This window comes from Homo sapiens, chromosome 12 (assembly GCF_000001405.40).
Source record: "Homo sapiens chromosome 12, GRCh38.p14 Primary Assembly".
NCBI classification, from domain to species: domain Eukaryota; kingdom Metazoa; phylum Chordata; class Mammalia; order Primates; family Hominidae; genus Homo; species Homo sapiens.
The window spans coordinates 54,473,644-54,494,373 of NC_000012.12; the positions used below are offsets into that span (position 1 = coordinate 54,473,644).

At 43.6% G+C, this 20,730-nt stretch overlaps 4 annotated features.

The window, feature by feature from the left end:
* Positions 36-562: an enhancer, noted in NCBI's record as "H3K27ac-H3K4me1 hESC enhancer chr12:54867463-54867989 (GRCh37/hg19 assembly coordinates)". NCBI's record gives its function as "activates a minimal SCP1, AML or CMV promoter by ChIP-STARR-seq in naive H9 embryonic stem cells {active_cell/tissue: H9 hESC(naive)}" and the evidence as "EXISTENCE:reporter gene assay evidence [ECO:0000049][PMID:30033119]".
* Positions 228-287: an enhancer, noted in NCBI's record as "active region_6442". NCBI's record gives its function as "activates an Ori minimal core promoter by ATAC-STARR-seq in GM12878 lymphoblastoid cells {active_cell/tissue: GM12878}" and the evidence as "EXISTENCE:reporter gene assay evidence [ECO:0000049][PMID:35858748]".
* Positions 11,088-11,288: a silencer, noted in NCBI's record as "peak1739 fragment used in MPRA reporter construct". NCBI's record gives its function as "represses an SCP1 promoter by STARR-seq MPRAs in K562 erythroleukemia cells {active_cell/tissue: K562}" and the evidence as "EXISTENCE:reporter gene assay evidence [ECO:0000049][PMID:32103011]".
* Positions 12,781-12,830: an enhancer, noted in NCBI's record as "active region_6443". NCBI's record gives its function as "activates an Ori minimal core promoter by ATAC-STARR-seq in GM12878 lymphoblastoid cells {active_cell/tissue: GM12878}" and the evidence as "EXISTENCE:reporter gene assay evidence [ECO:0000049][PMID:35858748]".

The window sequence follows — 20,730 nt, forward strand, 5'->3', positions numbered from 1 at the left end:
CCGGCACTTCCTGTGACTGGGAGTCTCGGTTCTGGCTGAGTGTGGGGCAGGGTGGATCAGCTGTGGAGTTCACCTGTGAGCCCCTAGGGTCAGCTCCCTGATGACCCTTTCCCACGAGGATCTCCTCCTTGGGCACCCCATCTTTGGGGCCATCCTCCCCTGGCCCCCAGAACAACAGTGGCCTTGAGAGGGTAGAACTCGCATTTCTTTCCCTGGGTTTTGTGGCGGCCATCTTAGAAAAGGCAGATGAGCACTTAGAAATGGGCACCTGCGATTACCTCAGGAGTTCAAGACCAGCCTGGCCAACATGGTGAAACCTCGTCTCTACTAAAAATACAAAAATTAGCTGGGTGTGGTGGCGGGCGCCTGTAATCCCAGCTACTTGGGAGGCTGAGGCAGGAGAATTGCTTGAACCCGGGAGGCGGAGGCTGCAGTGAGCCGAGATTGCACCACTGCACTCCAGCCTGGGCGGCAGAGTGAGACTCCGTCTCAGGAAAAAAAAAAAAAAAAAAAAAAAAATGGCGCCTGAGGGAATGGGACTGATGGAACTGGTTAGAGGTGGGGAGCTGCCTAGAAAGAAGCCTTGTTTGTGGAAGTTGTCTAGATAGAAAGGTAATTTAGATTTTGAGGGAAGAGAAGAGGAATTATAAAGGAGATACGCAGTGCAGCCACAAAACAATCACCAAGGACAGGAATTTTGTGTCTGGCTGTTCTTGTTTAGAATGTGTTGTAAAATCCCAAAATTCAAAAGGCACTAACTATCTGAGAATGCTTGGTAGGATGATGGTTGTTGCTGCCTGATGAAAGCGAGTTTTAGAGTTGGGGAGAGAGCTCAATGAAGAGTTGGAGAGGACAAGAAGGCCGGAAGGTTACAACTTGTTAAGGGAAAACCAAACGTAGTGTGAGGCTTTGTTCTGGGGAAAAAAAGTGTAAGCTGCAGTTCTTGTCCCCAGAGTGCTTAGAAAAACGACTCCCAAAGTGGATGAAAGGTTTAATAGCAGTACAAAAAATGCCAAAAAAAGTGGTAGAGACTGTAAATTCCTGTAAGGAAAAAAATTAATGGGGCCTGAAATGACCTGGGAAGGCATTATAGAGAAAAGGGACTTGTAGCCTTTGAAGGTTAGACAAAAAAAGGAAGGTGTTGACACTACAAGTAGATCTGGTGGTAATATTTTTCAAAACCAAGAAGTAAAAGATATGACAAAACATTCTGTGCTGTTCAAGATGTAGGAGGCAGTCTGGGTGATTAGTCTGGGCAGTGAAATATTGGGATTTCTACAGCATTTCAGTGGTGTAGAGCCCAAATAGGACTTGAGAGGACTACCCTGACAAAAACTGAATGTAGCTTTAGTAAAAAGGATCAGTGGGGCATTTTCTTTTTCTTCTTTTTTTTTTTTGAGATGGAGTCTCGCTCTGTCGCCCATGCAGGAGAGCAGTGGCATGATCTCGGCTCACTGCAACCTCCGCCTCCTGGGTTCAAGTGATTCTCCTGCCTCAGCCTCCTGAGAAGCTGGAACTACAGGCAGGCACTACCACACCCAGCTTTTTTTTTTTTTTTTTTAAGTAGAGACGGGGGTTTCACCATGTTGGCCAGGCTGGTCTCAAACTCCTGACCTCAGGTGATCTGCCTGCCTCGGCCTCCCAAAGTGCTGAGATTACAGGTGTGATCCACTGCGCCGGGCAAGGGATGTTTTCGTTTTACATGATTAATTTGTGAGCGTTTATTGTTGTTACTCCCTCCGCACCCCCTCCCCCCGACCTTTTTTTCCTACTAGAAGAGAGTTTGCTCCACAGCCATCAGTTCAGATTAAGACACTAAAAAGAACCAAGTGTTGATGGAAGCCAGGCTCAAGCCATTGTAGGCTAGTGGTTCTTAATCTTGTCTACACCTTAGAATCATCAGGGGAGCTTTTAAGACATACCATGCCAACTTCCCATCCCACACCAATTAATGTGAAAGAGCCAGGCATAGTTATTTTTAAAAATCTACCCAGATGAATTTAATGTGTAGCCAGGGCTGAGAACAACTGACCTAGGCATTGTTTTGAAATCAAAAAAGCCATTCTTTCACCCATGGCCTGGATGATTCATTTGAAGGAGGAGCAAACTGTTAAAGTGGTTTGCGAAAGATAATTGCTAAGAAGGAAAGCTTCATTGCAAGCTTAGCACTAATCATTTTGGAAAAAGTTGTTTTGGCAAATCAGTTTTAGATTGTTAGGAAATATTTTAAAACAATTTTCATGAAATCCTAAACCTCTGATTTTATCACAGTATCATTAATGCAGATTGTTGGGGCCAGTGTGATTTGAAATGAAATATTTTTTCAGGCTTTACATTGCAGTAATCTGGTGAAATTGTTGACAGTGCTACTGTGACCCATAAATACATTTTATTCAGATACCTGCAGATTGAAATTTCTGAGGAAGAAAGAGCTAAGGGCTTGGGAGGATAGGGGAATGGGTACCAAACCAGAATCCAAAGTCAGGCTTCACTGCATTCAGTAGTAATGCCTTGTCAGAATGACAGGATCCTCAACTGATAATGCTGTTTCATTTAGCACCTGTGAATAAGCCAACCAACTTTCAAACAAGCAAAAATCAAACCTGTTTTTCAATGGTGATTTTGAAATAAAAATGCACCACACATCTGTTCTTTCTATTCTTAAGTATTTTGTTCATTCCTTTCTAACTATAAATTTTCTGCTTTGTCTGAGGTCCCTGCTTAGCTTTCTTTTAGACTGGTTTTCCAGCCAGGTTGATCATATTTGAAAAGGAAAAAAAAAATGAGACAAGGCATTTTATACAAGGGTCATTCTAGGAGCTATTGGGAATTAATACCCTAAACTGAATCTGATCCGTGCTGGTTCTATCTGTGTATATACTAGCATTTACCTCTAAATGTTGTGTGTGTGTGTGTGTGTGTGTGTGTGTGTGTGTGTGTGTGTGTGTATACATTTTTTGTAGAGATTGGGGGTGGGGATCTCGCTATATTGTCCAGGCTGGTATCGAACTGCTGGCCTCAAGTGATTCTCCCACCTCAGCCTCCAGAGTTGCTGAGATTACAGGTGTGAGCCACCACCCCCAGCCTCCTATAGATTATATTCTTAGAATTAATAATAGTTGGCTGGGTGCGGTGGCACATGCCTGTAATCTCAGCACTTTGGGAGGCTGAGGCGGGTGGATTGATTGAGCTCAGTAGTTTGAGACCAGCCTTGGCAAGATGATGAGACTCTGTTTCTCTAAATACAAAAATTAGCTAGGCCTGATGGTGGGTGCCTGTAGTCACAGCTACTCGGGAAGCTGAGGTGGGAGGATTCCTTGAGCCCAGGAGGTCAAGACTGCAGTGAGCTGAGTTTGCAGTTCATTGTACTCCAGACTGGGCGACAGAGTAAGACTGTCTCAAAGAAGAAAAATTTAAAACGAAAGAATTAATAATAGTAAAAATAAAATATCTGAACTAATGAATAAATAGATCTATTCTCTTAGTTATTGGAAAAAACCCTTTGTTAGGAAGATAGTTTTCTCAGATTTTAGGATTGAAGGCATTCCAGTAGTCCTTGAGGTTCTTTAGAAACTTTCTGTTTTCAGACAACCCTAATAAAACTTAAAACTTTTGCCCGTCAAAAGACCAAAATATATTTTTTTGTTTCTGGCTTAGGTTTTATTAATCAAGTCCTGGTTCTCTCATCTAATTATTAATTTTTCTCTCATCTAATTATGATTTCTGTTTGGCAGTTGGGTGTATAATTAAAAATGGAAAAATTATTCAATAAATTCAGTTGCAAATTCTTTCAAAATGAGGGTTCGGCTGGGCGTGGTGGCTCACGCCTGTAATCCTAGCACTTTAGGAGGCCGAGATGGGCAGATCACCTGAGGTCGGGAGTTTGAGACCAGTCTGGTCAACATAGTGAAACCCCATCTCTACTAAAAATACAAAAAAAAGAAAAAAAAATTAGCCGGGTATGGCGGTGTCTGTCTGTAGTCCCAGCTTCTCAGGAGGCTGAAACAGGAGAATCGCTTGAACCCGGGAGGCAGAGCTGCACTCCAGCCTGGGTGACAGAGCAAGACTCCGTGTCAAAAAAAAAAAAAAAAAAAAAAGAAGAGGGGCTCTATGGGGTAACAGATATTCTTCTTGGTGAGAATAAGTGAGAATAGATTAGGAAATATTGCTTTAGGGGAGGGTGAAAATATGGGGTTGGTTACAATTGTTCAGGAAAAGTAGCAGGGAGAGGTAGTGAGAGCCAATGAAAATAAATTTATGTTTAAAAAAGAGTTGCTAATGAGGACTTGCCAAGAAGAGCCAACATTCAGTTCTAGAAGCTAAAGCAAAATACAGGATGAGTGAAGAAAAACTGGTAGTGATATTTTGTTTGTCCTAGAGCCATTCTATGTTCTAACATGTAAATGTTACGTATTTCTGTAATCCACATTGCCTGTAATAGTTACCTGTATACCTGACAAATCTATTCTTTATGTTTTTCCTTTACATATATAGTTCTTTCCCCAGGACTCAGCAACAAATATCTCTTACTCTCTTTCTAGTGCTGGCACCTAAGATGTAAATTGTAAGCCAAAGTTCATAAGCATCACTTTGGTAACTTCTTAAAAGACTGTTGAAAAGATGGTAGGAGGTGTGAACCTATGGATTATGTTGAAAAAGAAAAAGATGGTAGAAGGGCAGAATTATACTAAAAAAACCTTACTAAAAGTTCTGTAAAGGACTGGTCTTCCGTAGAACAATTCTAAAATTCCAACACTGCTGTTTTGTGGATCTATTATTTTAAGGCATATAAAATGTTTAAATCCAAGGTTAATTTTCTCTGTGAAGCCTTCTTTTAACCTTTACTTGGGATTAGTCCTTACATTTTTCCTTCCTTCCTTCCTTCTTTTCTTCTCTTTTTTCTTCCTTTTCCCTCCCTCCCTCCCTCCCTCCCTCCCTTCCTCCCTTCCTTCCTCCCCTTTCCCTTTCTTTTTTTCTTCTCTCCACAGGGTTTTGCCCTGTTGCCCAGGCTGGTCCCGAACTCCTGAGCTCAAGGCATTCCCCTGCCTTGGCCCCCCTGAAGTGCTGACATTAAAGGCAGAAGCCACCGTGCAGCCCCAAATCCTTATATTTTCTTGTAATCTTCCTCCACCCTCCTATCCTCCCAGCACTGAAACTGTCCGTGACACCAGTGGCTCTTAAAGTGTGGTGCATAGACCAGCAGCATCGGCATCACCTGGGATTTGAGGAAATGCACATTTTGGGCCCCATTACAGACCAACTGAATCAGAAACTCTGGGGGCTGAGGTGCCCTACAGTCTGTGTTTTAATAAGCCCTCCAAATAATTTTAATATCCAATAAAGTTTGAGAACCATTGCCCTATACTATAGTTGCCAACATTGTTCCCCAATAATGGACCATGGCCACTACAGTTTTTTTTTTAATTGAGGCGATTGGCAAATAAATTGTATATATTTAAGGTGTACAACATGGTGTTTTGATCCAAGTATACCTTGTGTAATGATTTCCACAATTGAACTAATTAACAAATCTATTATCTGACACAGTTATCTTTTTTTGTGTGTGTGGTGAGAATACTTAAGATCTATTCCCTTAGCAAATTTCAAGTATGTAATACATTATTATTAACTATAGTTACCATGCAGTACATTAGGTCTCTAGAACTTATTCATCTTAAACTGAATATTTATACCTTTTCACCAACATCTATCTCCCTATTTCCCCCAATACACTACAGTTCTTAATTAAGTAGTAACATAGTAGATACTTGATTATTTGACTTGAGAACAGGTGTATTTTTTCAGGTGCTGCAGCAACTATATGATATCATCTATCTTGTGAAGAGCATGGGGGAAAAAGAGACTAAAATATTTAGGTTTTTTTGAGCCTGTTTTATACTGCAGCTACTTGGAAAGGCAGAGCAAAAAGGCCTGTAAAGTATGGACCAACCACAGGATAGATAAAGATGTGGAACTAATGGGATATGTTTTGGTGCATATTTTGGTGCATATCTAGGACATGAGTAACAGGCCTTAGCAATTTTTTCCCTCGTAGTTCATACTATGAGTGTAAGGGTTTAAACCTTAAAACCTGATTTTAGGGGATAAACTTTAAAGCTGGAAATTCTTTACTATTCCAGAAATATAACTGAAATTGCCATTTTTTTTTTTTGAGACAGGGTCGCACTGTGTTGCCCAGCAGTGGCACAATCTCGGCTCACTGCAGCCTCAACCTTCTGAGCTCCATCAATCCTCCCACCTCAGTCTCTTGTGTAGCTGGGACCACAGGCACTTGCCACCATACCTGGCTAATTTAACATTTTTTTTTTAGAGATGGGGTCTTGCCATGTTGCCCAGGCTGGTCTTGAACTCCTGGGCTCAAGGAATACTCATGCCTTGGCCTCCCAAAGTGCTGCGATTATGGGCATGAGCCACTGTGCCTGGCCTTGAATTACCTTAATAGAACTCATTATTTTATTTTATTTTGAGACAGGGTCTTGCTCTGTCCTTGAGGCTGCTGGAGTGCAGTGGCGTTAACACAGTTCACTGCAGCCTTGACCTCCTGGGTTCAAGTGATCCTCCTTCCTCAGCCTCCTGAGTAGGTGGGGCCATAGGTACCTGCTACCATGCTTAGCTAATAGAACTTTTTAGAGAAGAGAACCTGGTTACCAAAGTTTTTGAAAGGTTGATTTATTCTGATAGAAATATTTAGCCCAGGTTTGGTGGCAGTGGCTCACGCCTGTAATTCCAACACTTAGGGAAGCAGAGGTGGGAGGATAACTTGTGCCCAGGAGTTTGAAACCTGCCTGGATAACATAGTGAGACCTTGTGGTATTCTCCACAAGAAGTAAAGAAAAAAAGACAAAAAAGAGAGAAATATTTAGCCCAGACTACTGAGTCTTTTTTTATCCCATTGATAAGATATAGATTCTCCACATTCAGCAATCTTGCTTTTAGGTACAGGATGACTACATAGTCAAGATCATACCTATCTTCAAGTGTCCTATAGCTTAACAATAATAAAGTGGAATGAAAGGTTATTCGGAGACATGAGACTCCTGTTATGGGAACATGGGGGAATAGTTTAGGCTTTGGGAAATCTAGGAAGGCTTTGAGGCAATTACTTTTAAACTCTACTGAAAAAAAAATGCATGTGCTTTTATTTTTTTTCCCATAAGTTTATTTGGTGTTTCTCAAAGCTTTGACCAAATGTTATGTTAGAAGCCACAAAGTGATGTTTTAACTTCTATTATGCTTTCTTTCGAAGGCCTCAGAATTTCTTAAAGATTTGAGTAGCTCTGGCACCCATATTTTGAATGACACAGTTGCCTAATAAATGATGTTTTTTTCTCTTAAGACTAGGGTGGCCAACCTGATTAGTCTGGTTGTCCCAGTATCATTATTTTTATTTTTACTTTTTTAAAGATGGAGTCTTGCTCTGTCACCCAGGCTGGAGTGCAGTAGTGTGATCTTGGCTCACTGCAACCTCTGCCTCCCGGGTTCAAGCAGTTCTCCTGCCTCAGCCTCCCGAGTAGCTGGGATTACAGGCACATACCACCACACCTGGCCAATTTCTTAATTTTTTGTAGAGACAGGGTTTTGCCGTGTTGGCCAGGCTGGTCTCTAACTCCTGATCTCAGGTGATCCACCCTCCTTGGCCTCCCAAAGTACTGGGATTACAGCCAGGATAATTATTGATAGTGAGCCCTTTCATACTCAAAAATATCCTTGTTTGGAAAAACAAAATCATTGTGGTCACGTCAAATAAGACTGTATGGCCTTTTAAGGGAAGATTCTCTATATGTAAAATATGATAAAGAAAGACATTTGATGGGCTGGGCACGGTGGCTCACGCCTGTAATCCCAGCCCTTTGGGAGGCTGAGGTGGGTGGATCACAAGGTCAGGAGTTCGAGCCCAGCCTGACTAACATGGTGAAACCCCGTCTCTACTAAAAATACAAAAATTAGCCAGGCGTGGTGACGCACGCTTGTGATCCCAGCTACTTGGGAGGCTGAGGCACAAGAATCGCTTCAACCCGGGAGGTGGAGGTTGCAGTGAGCCGAGATTGCACCATTGCACTCCAGCCTGGGCGACAGAGTGACACTCCATCTCAAAAAAAAAAAAAAAAAAAGAAAGACATTTGATGATATTGGGTCATTATTCTTAGGGAACTTTTTTTTTGTTTTTATAATGTGGTGTCGATATACCAAAGGATAATTTTAAAAATTGAAAATATGTGTAAGGCCTTAGTCAGGAGATGAAAGTAGGCCAGGTACAGTGGCTTGCGCCTGTAATCCCAGCACTTTTGGAGACCAAAGAGGGTAGATTGCTTGACCCCACCAGCCTGTGCAACATAGTGAAACCCTGTCTCTACAAAAAATTAGCCAGGTGTGGTGGGGTGTGCCTGTAGTTCCAGCTACTCTGGAGGCTGAAGTGGAAGAATTACTTGAGCCCAGGAGTTGGAGGTTGAAGTGAGCCGAGATTGCCCCATTGCACTCTAGCCTAGGTGACAGGTAAAGACTTGTCTCAAAAAAAAAAAAAAAAAAAAAAAAGATAAAGTAAGAAGATTATTCTAGAAAATAAGTAAGGATTAGCCTCCTAAGGGCATAAAATATTCAGTTGTCTATAACTTCCTTTAATTGTAAATCTAAATACACCTGAAATAATCACTAAACTAAGCAAAAAAAACCATATCGTTATTTTGAAAGGCTTAGCTAGCTGCAATAAAAAAAACAATTATGACTTCAGAGATTTTGGCCTGTCATAAATTGGGTCTTTTAAACATTAAGTTTAAGCATCAAGTATTTCAATATCTACTAGATGCACAGCAGCAGACTAGTGGTGTAACAAGTACAAAGCAACACATGATTCGGACTTCTCTCGTGAGGGTTTGTGGTATGGTTGAGGTTGGAGAAAATTGTCTATATTTAACTGCCATGATAGAAATCACTAAAGAAGATAGGGAAGGTTTAAATGAGGTGAGGAATAAGAGTTGGATTAAAAAAAAAAGCTAGAACAGGAATTTAAACGATTGAAGGGCAAGGGGTGACATTTAAAAATGAGCAGAGTGGGCCGGGCGCGGTGGCTCACGCCTGTAATCCCAGCACTTTGGGAGGCCGAGGCGGGCGGATCACGCGGTCAGGAGATCGAGACCATCCTGGCTAACACGGTGAAACCCCGTCTCTACTAAAAATACAAAAAATTAGCCGGGCGTGGTAGCGGGCGCCTGTAGTCCCAGCTACTCGGGAGGCTGAGGCAGGAGAATGGCGTGAACCCGGGAGGCGGAGCTTGCAGTGAGCCGAGATCGCGCCACTGCACTCCAGCCTGGGCGACAGAGCGAGACTCCGTCTCAAAAAAAAAAAAAAAAAAAAAAAAAAAATGAGCAGAGTGAAAAAGAATAAGGCATATTTAAGATGAGTGTAAGTTGCCTGTTACAGAGTTAGGAAGGTACATTTGGAGCCATGTTCCAGTCTCAGCTTTCCATAAAACGCTATCCTTTAAGCATGGAAAGTTTTGTGTAGAGAACTGATTGAAGAATAATCTGACGGTCATATAGTAAGTGACTTGAAGAAAAAGCAATTGAAAGATGAAGAACCTCATTATGGAATAGCATTATAGCCCACATGACAAGATTTCCCCTACTAATAACAGAAATAGGCAAGTAAGCCCTCCAGACTTTTGGTTGGCAAATGAAAATATAAAAACAAGGAAGAAATTAAAAAATCAAATGAAGCTTGTCATAGAAATTAAAATTTTTAAAAAATTTTAAGTATTTTTTAGAGGCAGGGTCTCTGTCTATTGCCCAGATTGGAGTACAGTGTTATTGCAGCCTTCAACTCCTAGACTAAAGTGACTCTCCCACCTCAGCCTCTGGAGTAGCTGGGACTACAGGTGTGTGCCACCTTGCCTGGCTAATTTTTAAATTATTTTTATTTTTGTAGAGACAGGGTCTTGCTATGTTGGCCAGGCTGGTCTTGAACTCCTGCCCTCAAGTGATCCTCCCACTCTGGCCTCCCAAAGTATTGGGATTACAGGCATGAGCCATGGCACCTGGCCAGGAAAAATATTCTTTATTTAAAAAAATAAAATCGTGTTAAGATGCCAACAGTACCAAGAGTTGTTACCTAAAACATGCTAGTTAAGATTTCTCTGAAGTTTAAAAAAAGACTTAAAAATAAATATTTTGTCTGCTGGCTATTTAATCTACAACTTCTACATCACTTTTTCTGATTTGTGGGGGGAAAAAGAAGACTGAGGTAGTGTCATTTTGATGGCAAGGGTTTTTTTGTGTGTGTATTTTTCTGAAATGAGGTTTCACTCTTGTCACCCAGGCTGGAGTACAGTGGCATGAACACAGTTCACTGCAGCCTCAACCTCCTGGGCTCAAGCGATCCTCCTGCCTCAGCCTCTTGTGGGACCACAGGCCTGGCTATTACCCTGTCTGGCTAATTTTTTGATTTTTTTGTGGAGACAGAGGTCTCACGTTGTTGCCCAGGCTGATTTTGAAGTCTTGGGCTCAAGCAGCCCTCTTGCCTCGGCCTCCCAAAGTGCTGGGATTACAGGCGTGAGCCACTGTGCCCAGTTGCAAGTGTTTTTGTGGAAGATCTAAGCTTGATGTGTATTAGTAGCATTTCAAATAGATCCCTAGACAGCCCTTTCTCCTAAGACTAATTTAAAGCCATCAGGACTTTCCCTGCATTCTGTTGTGGGTGAAATAGGAAACTGAAATAGAAAATATGGTTTAATTTTTTTAAGAAGAAAAGTTTGTCTAAGAATCTTTAAAGGCTTAGGACACATTAGTGATATTAGTTAAAACTATGACATCAGTTTTTTAAAAACAATTATTTTATCTTTTCTCCAGGACTTGTTTTTAGGATGTATATCATCCATAGCCTCTTTTTTTCCTTAGGTCTCTTGAGTCACTGTAGGTGATGACTATAAGAGGAAAGTTAGTTGGAATCCAGTACTGGAGAATTAATCTAGATAATCAATTATAGGAGATTAAAGTTACTCTATCAAATGTAATTGATATTACTAAATGTCAGAGTAGAAACCATTGGTTTTTTTTTTTGCTTACTTCTGTTTTGTATAATTATTTTGCCCTTTCCCATCTTCCTGTGATTGTGGCAGGTAACTCCATGAATGACTCCTATAACTCTTGGATGTGCCCTTCAAGTTGTTTAGCTGGCAGTCCTTACCTCCTTCATGTACAATATGCTTATTCTTTTCCCTTCACAGTTTTGGAAATTGGTCTTTTATTCTTTGAAAATCTTACACAGAATCAAGAATGTTGTGTATGCAAGTCCTTGATGGGATACAGTCTGAAGCAGAGCCCTTGAGAAGGAATGGAAGTACTCAGGGCCCACCAATACAGATCTTTTACATTCATAATTGAAGCTTAGGCATCTGCCATGCCTAGGACCTGATGGCTGTCTCACTTTAAGAACCCAGGTTTCGGCCAGGCACAGTAGCTCATGCCTGTAATCCAAGCACTTTGGGAGGCTGAAGTGGGCGGATAACCTAAGGTCAGGAGTTCAAGACCAGCCTGGCCACCATGGTGAAACCCCTTCTCTACTAAAAATACAAAAATTAACTGGGCTGAGGCAGCAGAATCGCTTGAACCCAGGAGGCGGAGGTTGCAGTGAGCCGACATCGCGCCATTGCACTCTGTCTCAAAAAAAAAAAAGAATCCAGGTTTAAAGGTATTCTGCTCTCTCTTCCAACAGTGAAAAGATGGTTTATCTTAACTTTCACAAACCAGCATTTTTGGGGCAAAAGTCTTAAGAAAAAAATGGAGTATGATGCATATTACCTAGAAAGAAGGAAGAAGTAACACAAGTACTTAGCATTTTTATATGTTTGTAGAGAAGGTTAGATGGTAGCAGAGATTTGAGTCTTCCTTCCATAGTTGTTGCTGAGGAGTGGGTGATTTGCCACCTCCCTTACATTTAGGTATGGTCATATGACTAGTTTTGCCAATGGAATATGAATGAAAGTATTCTTTTCCAGGCTGAGGTGGTTGAAAGGCAGTTGCACCTTCTCCATTCTCTTTGTGGCAGCTTTGGAAACCAAGTGTGGAAGGTGACACTCACAAGATGGAAAGAGCCTGTGTCTTCAAGTCACTACCACCCACTGAATACTTGTGTTGGGATTTATACAAGAAAACTTCTCTTGTTTTAAGCCATGATATTAACACAATTTGGAATTCATATATAGAAGCTAGCATTGCTCTAACACACACATGCATCTGTATTTAATATTAGTCACCCTTGTGAGGGTGATTGTGAGGCAGCCTTGTACAGATGAAGAAGATGTGTTTAAGAAGTAACTTCCCTACTATGCAGCCATAAAAAGAATGAAATTATGTCCTTTGCAGCAACATGTATGCAGCTGGAGGCCATCATTCAAAGAGAATTAACACAGGAACAGAAAACCAAATACCACATATTCTCATGTTTAAGTGGGAGCTAAACATTGAGTACACACGGGCACAAAGATGAGAACAATAGACACTGGGAACTAATATAGGCGGTAGGTTGGAAGGGAGGCGAGGGTAAGAAAACTGTTGGGTACTGTGCTCATTTCCTGAGTGAGGGGATCATTCGTACACGAAACACCAGTGACACAAAATTCACCCATGTAACAAACCTGTACACTGAACCTAAACCTAAACATTGAACCTAAAATAAAAGTCAAAAGAAAAAAAAAAAAGGGAAGTAACTTCCGTTAAGGTCAGAGCAGATAGTCAAACCTAGATCTGACTGAAGGCTAATGAGGTCTCCATTATAACATGCTGCATCTTAGAGAAAGAGATCACTGGAGATAAGACAAATCCCACCCTTTCGGATTACAAGTTTCAGTTTATACCAGTAATGATTTTTTATGGATAGGAAAGTGACCAGATATTGGTAGGATAAGAAAAATCTTTTAAGTGTTTTAAATGATTTTAGATTTTAGATTCCTTTTTACTGGGTTGCCTCTCCAGAGACAGGTGATATTCTTAGATTGACTATGTTGATTGTTCTTGTGAAGGATTTTGTGGTTAGATTATTAAGACTTAAGTCTTCAGGGCTTTAGTACTTATTACTATGAAGGGCTTAGGGTCCAGGCCTTAATTCATGAGTATATTCACTGTTTCACCTTTGTTCACCTATATTCCAGACATCAGGGTCAGGAATCTGTCAGCATTAGAAAGTTTTTAATTTAGTCCTAAACTTGGAGAAATAACCTTTGGAAGATTAAATGGCTCTGAAATAAAGCAGACCACAAGTTATAGAATTAGAGTAGGAACTTATTTTTGTTTTTTCTTCCTCTTGTTTGTAAGGCTTCCATAGCTATGCGATATTGGAGTGGGAAAGGAAGCGACAGAATTTTATGCCACTTATCTGCTCCCAAAATGAAAAACTTACCATCATCTAGAGCAGTTCTGTTGACACAGCCTCATGTTCCTTGAGCCTTTTTTTTTCTTTTTTCTTTCGACATGGAGTCTTGCTCTGTCGCCCAGGCTGGAGTGCAGTGGTGCAATGTCGGCTCACTGCAAGCTCTGCCTCCCGGGTTCATGCCATTCTCCTGGCTCAGCCTCCCAAGTAGCTGGGACTACAGGCATCCACCACCATGCCCGGCTAATTTTTTGTATTTTTTAGTAGAGACAGGGTTTCACTGTGTTATCCAGGATGGTCTCGATCTCCTGACCTCGTGATCCACCCGTCTCGGCCTCCCAAAGTGCTGGGATTACAGGCGTGAGCCACCGCGCCCGGCCTCCTTGAGCCTTTTTATTGGGACCACATGACTAGCATTATTTTTTCAGTTAGCCATCATTTTAACTATCTTTGGATTTTTCTTTTTTTTTTTTTTTTATTGATCATTCTTGGGTGTTTCTCACAGAGGGGGATTTGGCAGGGTCATAGGACAATAGTGGAGGGAAGGTCAGCAGATAAACAAGTGAACAAAGGTCTCTGGTTTTCCTAGGCAGAGGACCCTGCGGCCTTCCGCAGTGTTTGTGTCCCTGGGTACTTGAGATTAGGGAGTGGTGATGACTCTTAACGAGCATGCTGCCTTCAAGCATCTGTTTAACAAAGCACATCTTGCACTGCCCTTAATCCATTTAACCCTGAGTGGACACAGCACATGTTTCAGAGAGCACGGTGTTGGGGGTAAGGTCACAGATCAACAGGATGCCAAGGCAGAAGAATTTTTCTTAGTACAGAACAAAATGAAAAGTCTCCCATGTCTACTTCTTTCTATACAGACATGGCAACCATCCGATTTCTCAATCTTTTCCCCACCTTTCCCCCCTTTCTATTCCACAAAACGGCCATTGTCATCCTGGCCCGTTCTCAATGAGCTGTTGGGTACACCTCCCAGATGGGGTGGTGGCCGGGCAGAGGGGCTCCTCACTTGCCAGTAGGGGCGGCCGGGCAGAGGCGCCCCTCACCTCCCGGACGGGGCGGCTGGCCGGGCGGGGGGCTGACCCCCCCCACCTCCCTCTCGGACAGGGCGGCTGGCCGGGCGGGGCGCTGACCCCCCCACCTCCCTCCCGGATGGGGCGGCTGGCCGGGCAGGGGGCTGAGCCCCCCACCTCCCTCCCGGACGGGGCGGCTGGCCGCGCAGACGGGCTCCTCACTTCCCAGTAGGGGCGGCCGGGCAGAGGCGCCCCTCACCTCCCGGACGGGGCGGCTGGCCGGGCCGGGGGCTGACCCCCCCACCTCCCTCCCGGACGGGGCGGCTGGCCTGGCGGGGGTTGACCCCCACCTCCCTCCCGGACGGGTGGCTGCCGGGCGGAGACGCTCCTCACTTCCCAACGGGGTGGCTGCGGGGCGGAGGGACTCCTCACTTCTCAGACGGGGCGGCTGCCGGGCAGAGGGGCCCCTCACTTCTCAGACGGGGCGGTTGCCAGGCAGAAGGTCTCCTCACTTCTCAGATGGGGCGGCCGGGCAGAGACGCTCCTCACCTCCCTGACGGGGTCGCGGCCGGGCAGAGGCGCTCCTCACATCCCAGACGGGGCGGTGGGGCAGAGGCGCTGCCCACATCTCAGACGATGGGCGGCCGGGCAGAGACGCTCCTCACTTCCTAGATGGGATGGCGGCCGGGCAGAGAGGCTCCTCACTTTCCAGACTGGGCAGCCAGGCAGAGGGGCTCCTCACATCCCAGACGATGGGCGGCCAGGCAGAGACGCTCCTCACTTCCCAGACGGGGTGGCGGCCCGGCAGAGGCTGCAATCTCAGCACTTTGGGAGGCCAAGGCAGGCGGCTGGGAGGTGGAGGTTGTAGCTAGCCGAGATCACGCCACTGCACTCCAGCCTGGGCACCATTGAGCACTGAGTGAACGAGACTCGGTCTGCAATCCCGGCACCTCGAGAGGCCGAGGCTGGCGGATCACTCGCGGTTAGGAGCTGGAGACCAGCCCGGCCAACACAGCGAAACCCCGTCTCCACCAAAAAAATACGAAAACCAGTCAGGCGTGGCGGCGCGCGCCCGCAATTGCAGGCACTCGGCAGGCTGAGGCAGGAGAATCAGGCAGGGAGGTTGCAGTGAGCCGAGATGGCAGCAGTACAGTCCAGCTTCTGCTCGGCATCAGAGGGAGACCGTGGAAAGAGAGGGAGAGGGAGACCGTGGGGAGAGGGAGAGGGAGAGGGAGACCGTGGGGAGAGGGAGAGGGAGAGGGAGAGGGAGAGGGAGAGAATCTTTGATTTTTCTAGAAGGAAAAAGTTCTAGGTTTTCCCTGTATTCCATCCTCCACCCCTTTCTGGAAATGCTGAAGACAGATACCATGTTCCAACATTAAGAACTGCCAGGTGCTACATATGGTCAGAAGCTTGTTTATTTTCATTTTTATTTATTTATTTATTTATTTATTTATTTATTTATTTATTTATTTATTTATTTGAGATGGAGTCTCGCTCTGTCACCCAGGCTGGAGAGCAGTGGCGCAATCTCGGCTCACTGCAAGCTCTGCCTCCCGGGTTCACGCCATTCTCCTGCCTCAGCCTCCCCAGCAGCTGGGACTACAGGCGTCCGCCACCACGCCCGGGTAATTTTTTGTATTTTTTTTTTTTTTAGTAGAGACAAGGTTTCACCATGTTAGCCAGGATGGTCTCGATCTCCTGACCTCGTGATCCGCCCACCTCGGCCTCCCAAAGTGCTGGAATTACAGGCATGAGCCACAGCACCTGGCCTATTTTTATTTTTTATTTTTAGAGATGAGGTCTTGCCATGTTGTCCAGGCTGGTCTTAAACTCCTGGTCTCAAGCAATCCTCCCACCTTGGCCTTCCAAGGTGCTTGGATTACAGTGTGACCCACTGCACACAGCCTAATTTTTTTTTTTAAAAACGTTAACTTTTTATTTCTGAGGTTATTTTCTCCCTCTAGTGGCTTACAGTTCTTATCAGGAAAACTTACTCTTCTGCATGACAGGTGGTACTGTAATCTGCTGGCTGGCCTCCTGTGGTTTGGGTCATAAGGACACATTTCTAAGGCTTCTGGCTCCATGAGGACTAAATGGTAGGAACCACAGGTTGTCAAATAAAAAGAATGACATTTAAGATCAGGTAGTCTTGGCATAGACCTATTTTATATTGTCAAAACAAAAGTAATATGAAAGATAGGAGTATCTCAAGTCTTACCTATGAAAGTTTCGAGTAACCAAAGCAATAGCCTAGCCAGTTAGACAGTAGGGGAAATTCACTGCTTCCATGCAAAAAATTAACGTTTGTATATATTTTTAGTCTTATAAGTTGTGTTAGATAGAGTGCTTGTCTCTCAAATAAAGTATTAAACAGGCAAAGGTCCTTGGAAAACTCAGTCTGGAGTAAGATGAATTTTTTTTTTTAAGACAGTTTCACTCTTGTTGGCCAGGCTGGAGTGCAATGGCGTGATCTCGGCTCACCACAACCTCTGCCTCCCGGGTTGAAGCTATTCTCCTACCTCAGCCTCCCGAGTAGCTGGGATTACAGGCATGTGCCAAGCCTGGCTAATTTTAAATTTTTATTAGAGACGGAGTTTCTCCATATTAGTCACGCTGGTCTTGAACTCCCGACCTCAGGTGATCTGCCTGCCTTGGCCTCCCAAAGTGTTGGGATTACAGGCATGAGCCACAGCGCCCAGCCAGTGAAATTTCATACTGTAAGCTTGAGTGCTGGAGAAAGAAAGGCTGGGACAGCTGGTTCCTTTACTATTCAGCATTGGTCCCTCCATCCCTTTTCCAACTTACCTAAATTAAGCTCTTTGCCAGGGAAAGATGCTAATTGTCAGATAGGTCAGCATAGCCACTGTTGGAGAAAAGGAATCTGAAGTATGAACAGTACAATGCTTAAGTTCAGGCTACTTTATAATTATAATAATTATTTTTTAGAGATGGGGCCTTGATGTTGCCGAGGCTGGAGTGCAGTGGCTCTTCACAGGTGTGATCATAGCACATGACAGCCTCAAACTTCTGGGCTCAAGCAATCCTTCTACCTCAGCCTCCTGAGTGGCTGGGACTACAGGTACATGCCAACATGCCAATCTTGGGCTACTTTATAGTTACCTGAGAATGTCAGTCTCAAATTTCTAAAGTTGTAGGTATTAACATATGAAGACTCCTAGAAGTGATTCAAGAATATACCATCTCAGATCTGCTACATTTTACTGCCAATATAAGGCCTACTTTCTTCCATGGCTAGCTGTCTTTAGCTATCCTAGCAGACGTTCATATTAAGGACTCTCAAGTTTCCAGGCAACAGCTACACCGAGATTTCTGCAAAGCATGGACAGTATAGTTTGATGGAGGAAAAATAAGATCAAGGCAGACTGGAATAAGCAGTAGGGATAGAAAAGTGCCTTAGAATAGTCCATTTCAATTCTGCTTTGCATCATGCCTAGGGCATAGATAAAGGGCACAGAGCTAGACTATTAAATGTCAGATTTTCCTGAGGGCATTTTGGTGACTAAATCCAGGGATTTAGACTCAGGTACCTTTCAGGAATACAAGTCAGGGTAGTTGTTTAAAGCTTTCACTGCATATTAATGATTATATTAGAGCCATGAACCCTTATTATAAAGTGAATTGGCTCTCTGGAAAATAAAGGCTGCAGCATAATTCAATGTTGTATACTGTTATCTTTAGATTTTTAAAGATAATGGAAAAAGATCTTCAATAACCCAAATGTAGTCTTCAGACAACCCCAAACCCTCATTTTGGCCAGCAGCCTAGAAAAGTATGAAGTTTGACCAGACTGATAAGCCTGGTCTTAATAAATGAAGACTGCTTTAGAATAGGTGGCGAGAATTGGTGACGCTGGGTTATTCACCTGATTATGGATAGCTGAATGGAGGCTAAGACCATTTCCTTTGATATATGTTAGACATGGCCAAAGCATTCCCAACCTTGATGCCACCTTGACACTTAAACCTAGCCTAAAGGATCTTGAGACCTACCTTATTCTTGAAGGAGTGTCTGTCAAGAATCTGAAGGCAAGTGTGACTTGAAGGCGAAGACGATCCTTTGGTAAGACAAAAATAAGACAAATAGCTGAAGTTTGAGGAGAGGGAAAGCACAGTACCTTTTAGTCTGGTGATGTGAATCAACTTTCCATTCAAGCTACTCAATTCCTCTTTTCCCACCATATGTTCTATGATTTCTCAGAGGTTCGGAAATTTTTGATGTCATAGTTAAGTCTTAGAGAACTGGCTCTCAATCCTGATTGTTCATGAGAATCACTGAGTAGTTTTAAAGTGACAGGTCCTTTGGTCCCACTCCAAAACTACTGGATCAGAATCTTCAAGAATGGGCTCTGGCTAATTGTGGCTTTAAAAGAGTTCCACAGGTCTGGCACAGTGGCTCACACCTATAATTCTAGCACTTTGGGAGGCTGAGGCAGACAGATTGCTTGAGGCCAGAATTTTAAGACCAGCCTGGGTAACATAGTAAGACCCCCATCTCTATAAAAAAATTTAAAAAATTATCCTGGTGTGGTGGCGTGTGCCTGTAGTCCAAGCTACATGGGAGGCTGAGGCAGGAGGATCACTTGAGCCCAGGAGTTCAAAGCTGCAGTGAGCTATCATGACACACAGTTGTACTCCATCCTGAGCATCAGAGCAAGACCCTGTCTCTATTAAAAAAAAAAAAAAAGAAAGACTTCTACAGGGGATTCTAGGTCTACCAGGCCATACTTTGGGAGTAATTAAATACCTTTAGAAGGGTTCCTCCAGTTTATGGGAGAAACTGCTGAATGATCTTTCCAATAAGTTTCTCTAAAAACTACCAGTTGGCATAGTTAGTTACATTAATTTTTTTGAGATGGAGTTTTGCTCTTGTTGCCCAAGCTGGGGTGCAATGGCATGATTTCGGCTCACTGCAACCTCTGCCTCCCGGGTTCAAGCGATTCTCCTGCCTCAGCCTCCCGAGTAGCTGGGATTACAGGCGTGCACCACCAAGCCTGGCTATTTTTTTGTATTTTTAGTAGAAATGGGGTTTCTCCATGTTAGCCAGCTGGTCTTGAACTCCTGACCTCAGGTAATCCGCCCACCTTGGCCTCCCAAAGTGCTGGGATTATAGGCGTGAGCCACCGTGCCTGGCAAAATTTTTTTTTTTTTTTGAGACGGAGTCTTGCCCTTGTCACCCAGCCTGGAGTGGCAATGGCTTGATCTCGGCTCACTGCAACCTCCATCTCCTGGGTTCAAGTGATTCTCCTGCCTCAGCCTCCTGAGTAGCTGGGATTACAGGTGCCCGACACCACGCCCGGCTAATTTTGTATTTTTAGTAGAGATGGGGTTTCTCCATTTTGGCCAGGCTGGTCTCAAACTCCTGACCTCAGGTGATCTGCCTGCCTTGGCCTCCCAAAGTGCTGGGATTACAGGTGTGAGCCACCACACTCAGCCCAGAAAATTTTTTTTGAGACAGGGTTTTGCTTTGTCTCTCAGGCTGGAGTGCAATGGTGCAATCACAGCTCACTGTAGCCTCAACCTTCTGGGCTCAAACAATCCTCCTGCCACAGCCTCCTGAATAGCTGGGACTACAGGTGTGTGCCACCACTCCCGGCTAATTTTTGTATTTTTTGTAGGGATGGAGATTCACCATGTTTCCCAGGTTGGTCTTGAACTCCTGGGCTCAAGCCATCTGCCTGCCTCAGCCTCCCAAAGTGCTGGGGTTATAGATGTGAGCCACTGCGTCTGGCCTAGTTCCATTTTTAAACCTAGAGTTTTTCTTTATGAGTGTCAAATAGAATCCACAGAAAGTGACATAACAAGCTCACTACACACTCAAAGATCAAAATTTTACTTTACTGTTGACATTCCTAATCCAATGTAGCAGGTCTTGAACCAAATGTTTACATATGCCATATTATTTCATCAGTTCCACAGTCGTATGAGGGATTACCACCATTTTATAGATTAGGAAACAACTCAATGGTGATAGATAGCTAAAGTTACAAAGCTAGTAAGTGTTTAGCATTATTAATATTAATTGAGGTAATACATGTAAGCTTGAGTGCTTATAGTACTTCAAATGCTTTACATGTACAGAGTAAGTAACTAGGCTATAACTTTTAAAATATGCACAATAGCTCCGTGAAATAGGAAGTATTATCAATATCATCTTTATTTTACAGACAGGATAAATAGGATGTGAACTCAAGATATCTGGTTCCAGAACCTGGGCTCTCGGTCACTAAATCATAAGGCTCAGCCCACTGTACTCAACTACACTTGAGCCAAATTCTGTCTGATAACAGCAGGTAGGCTTTTCGCAT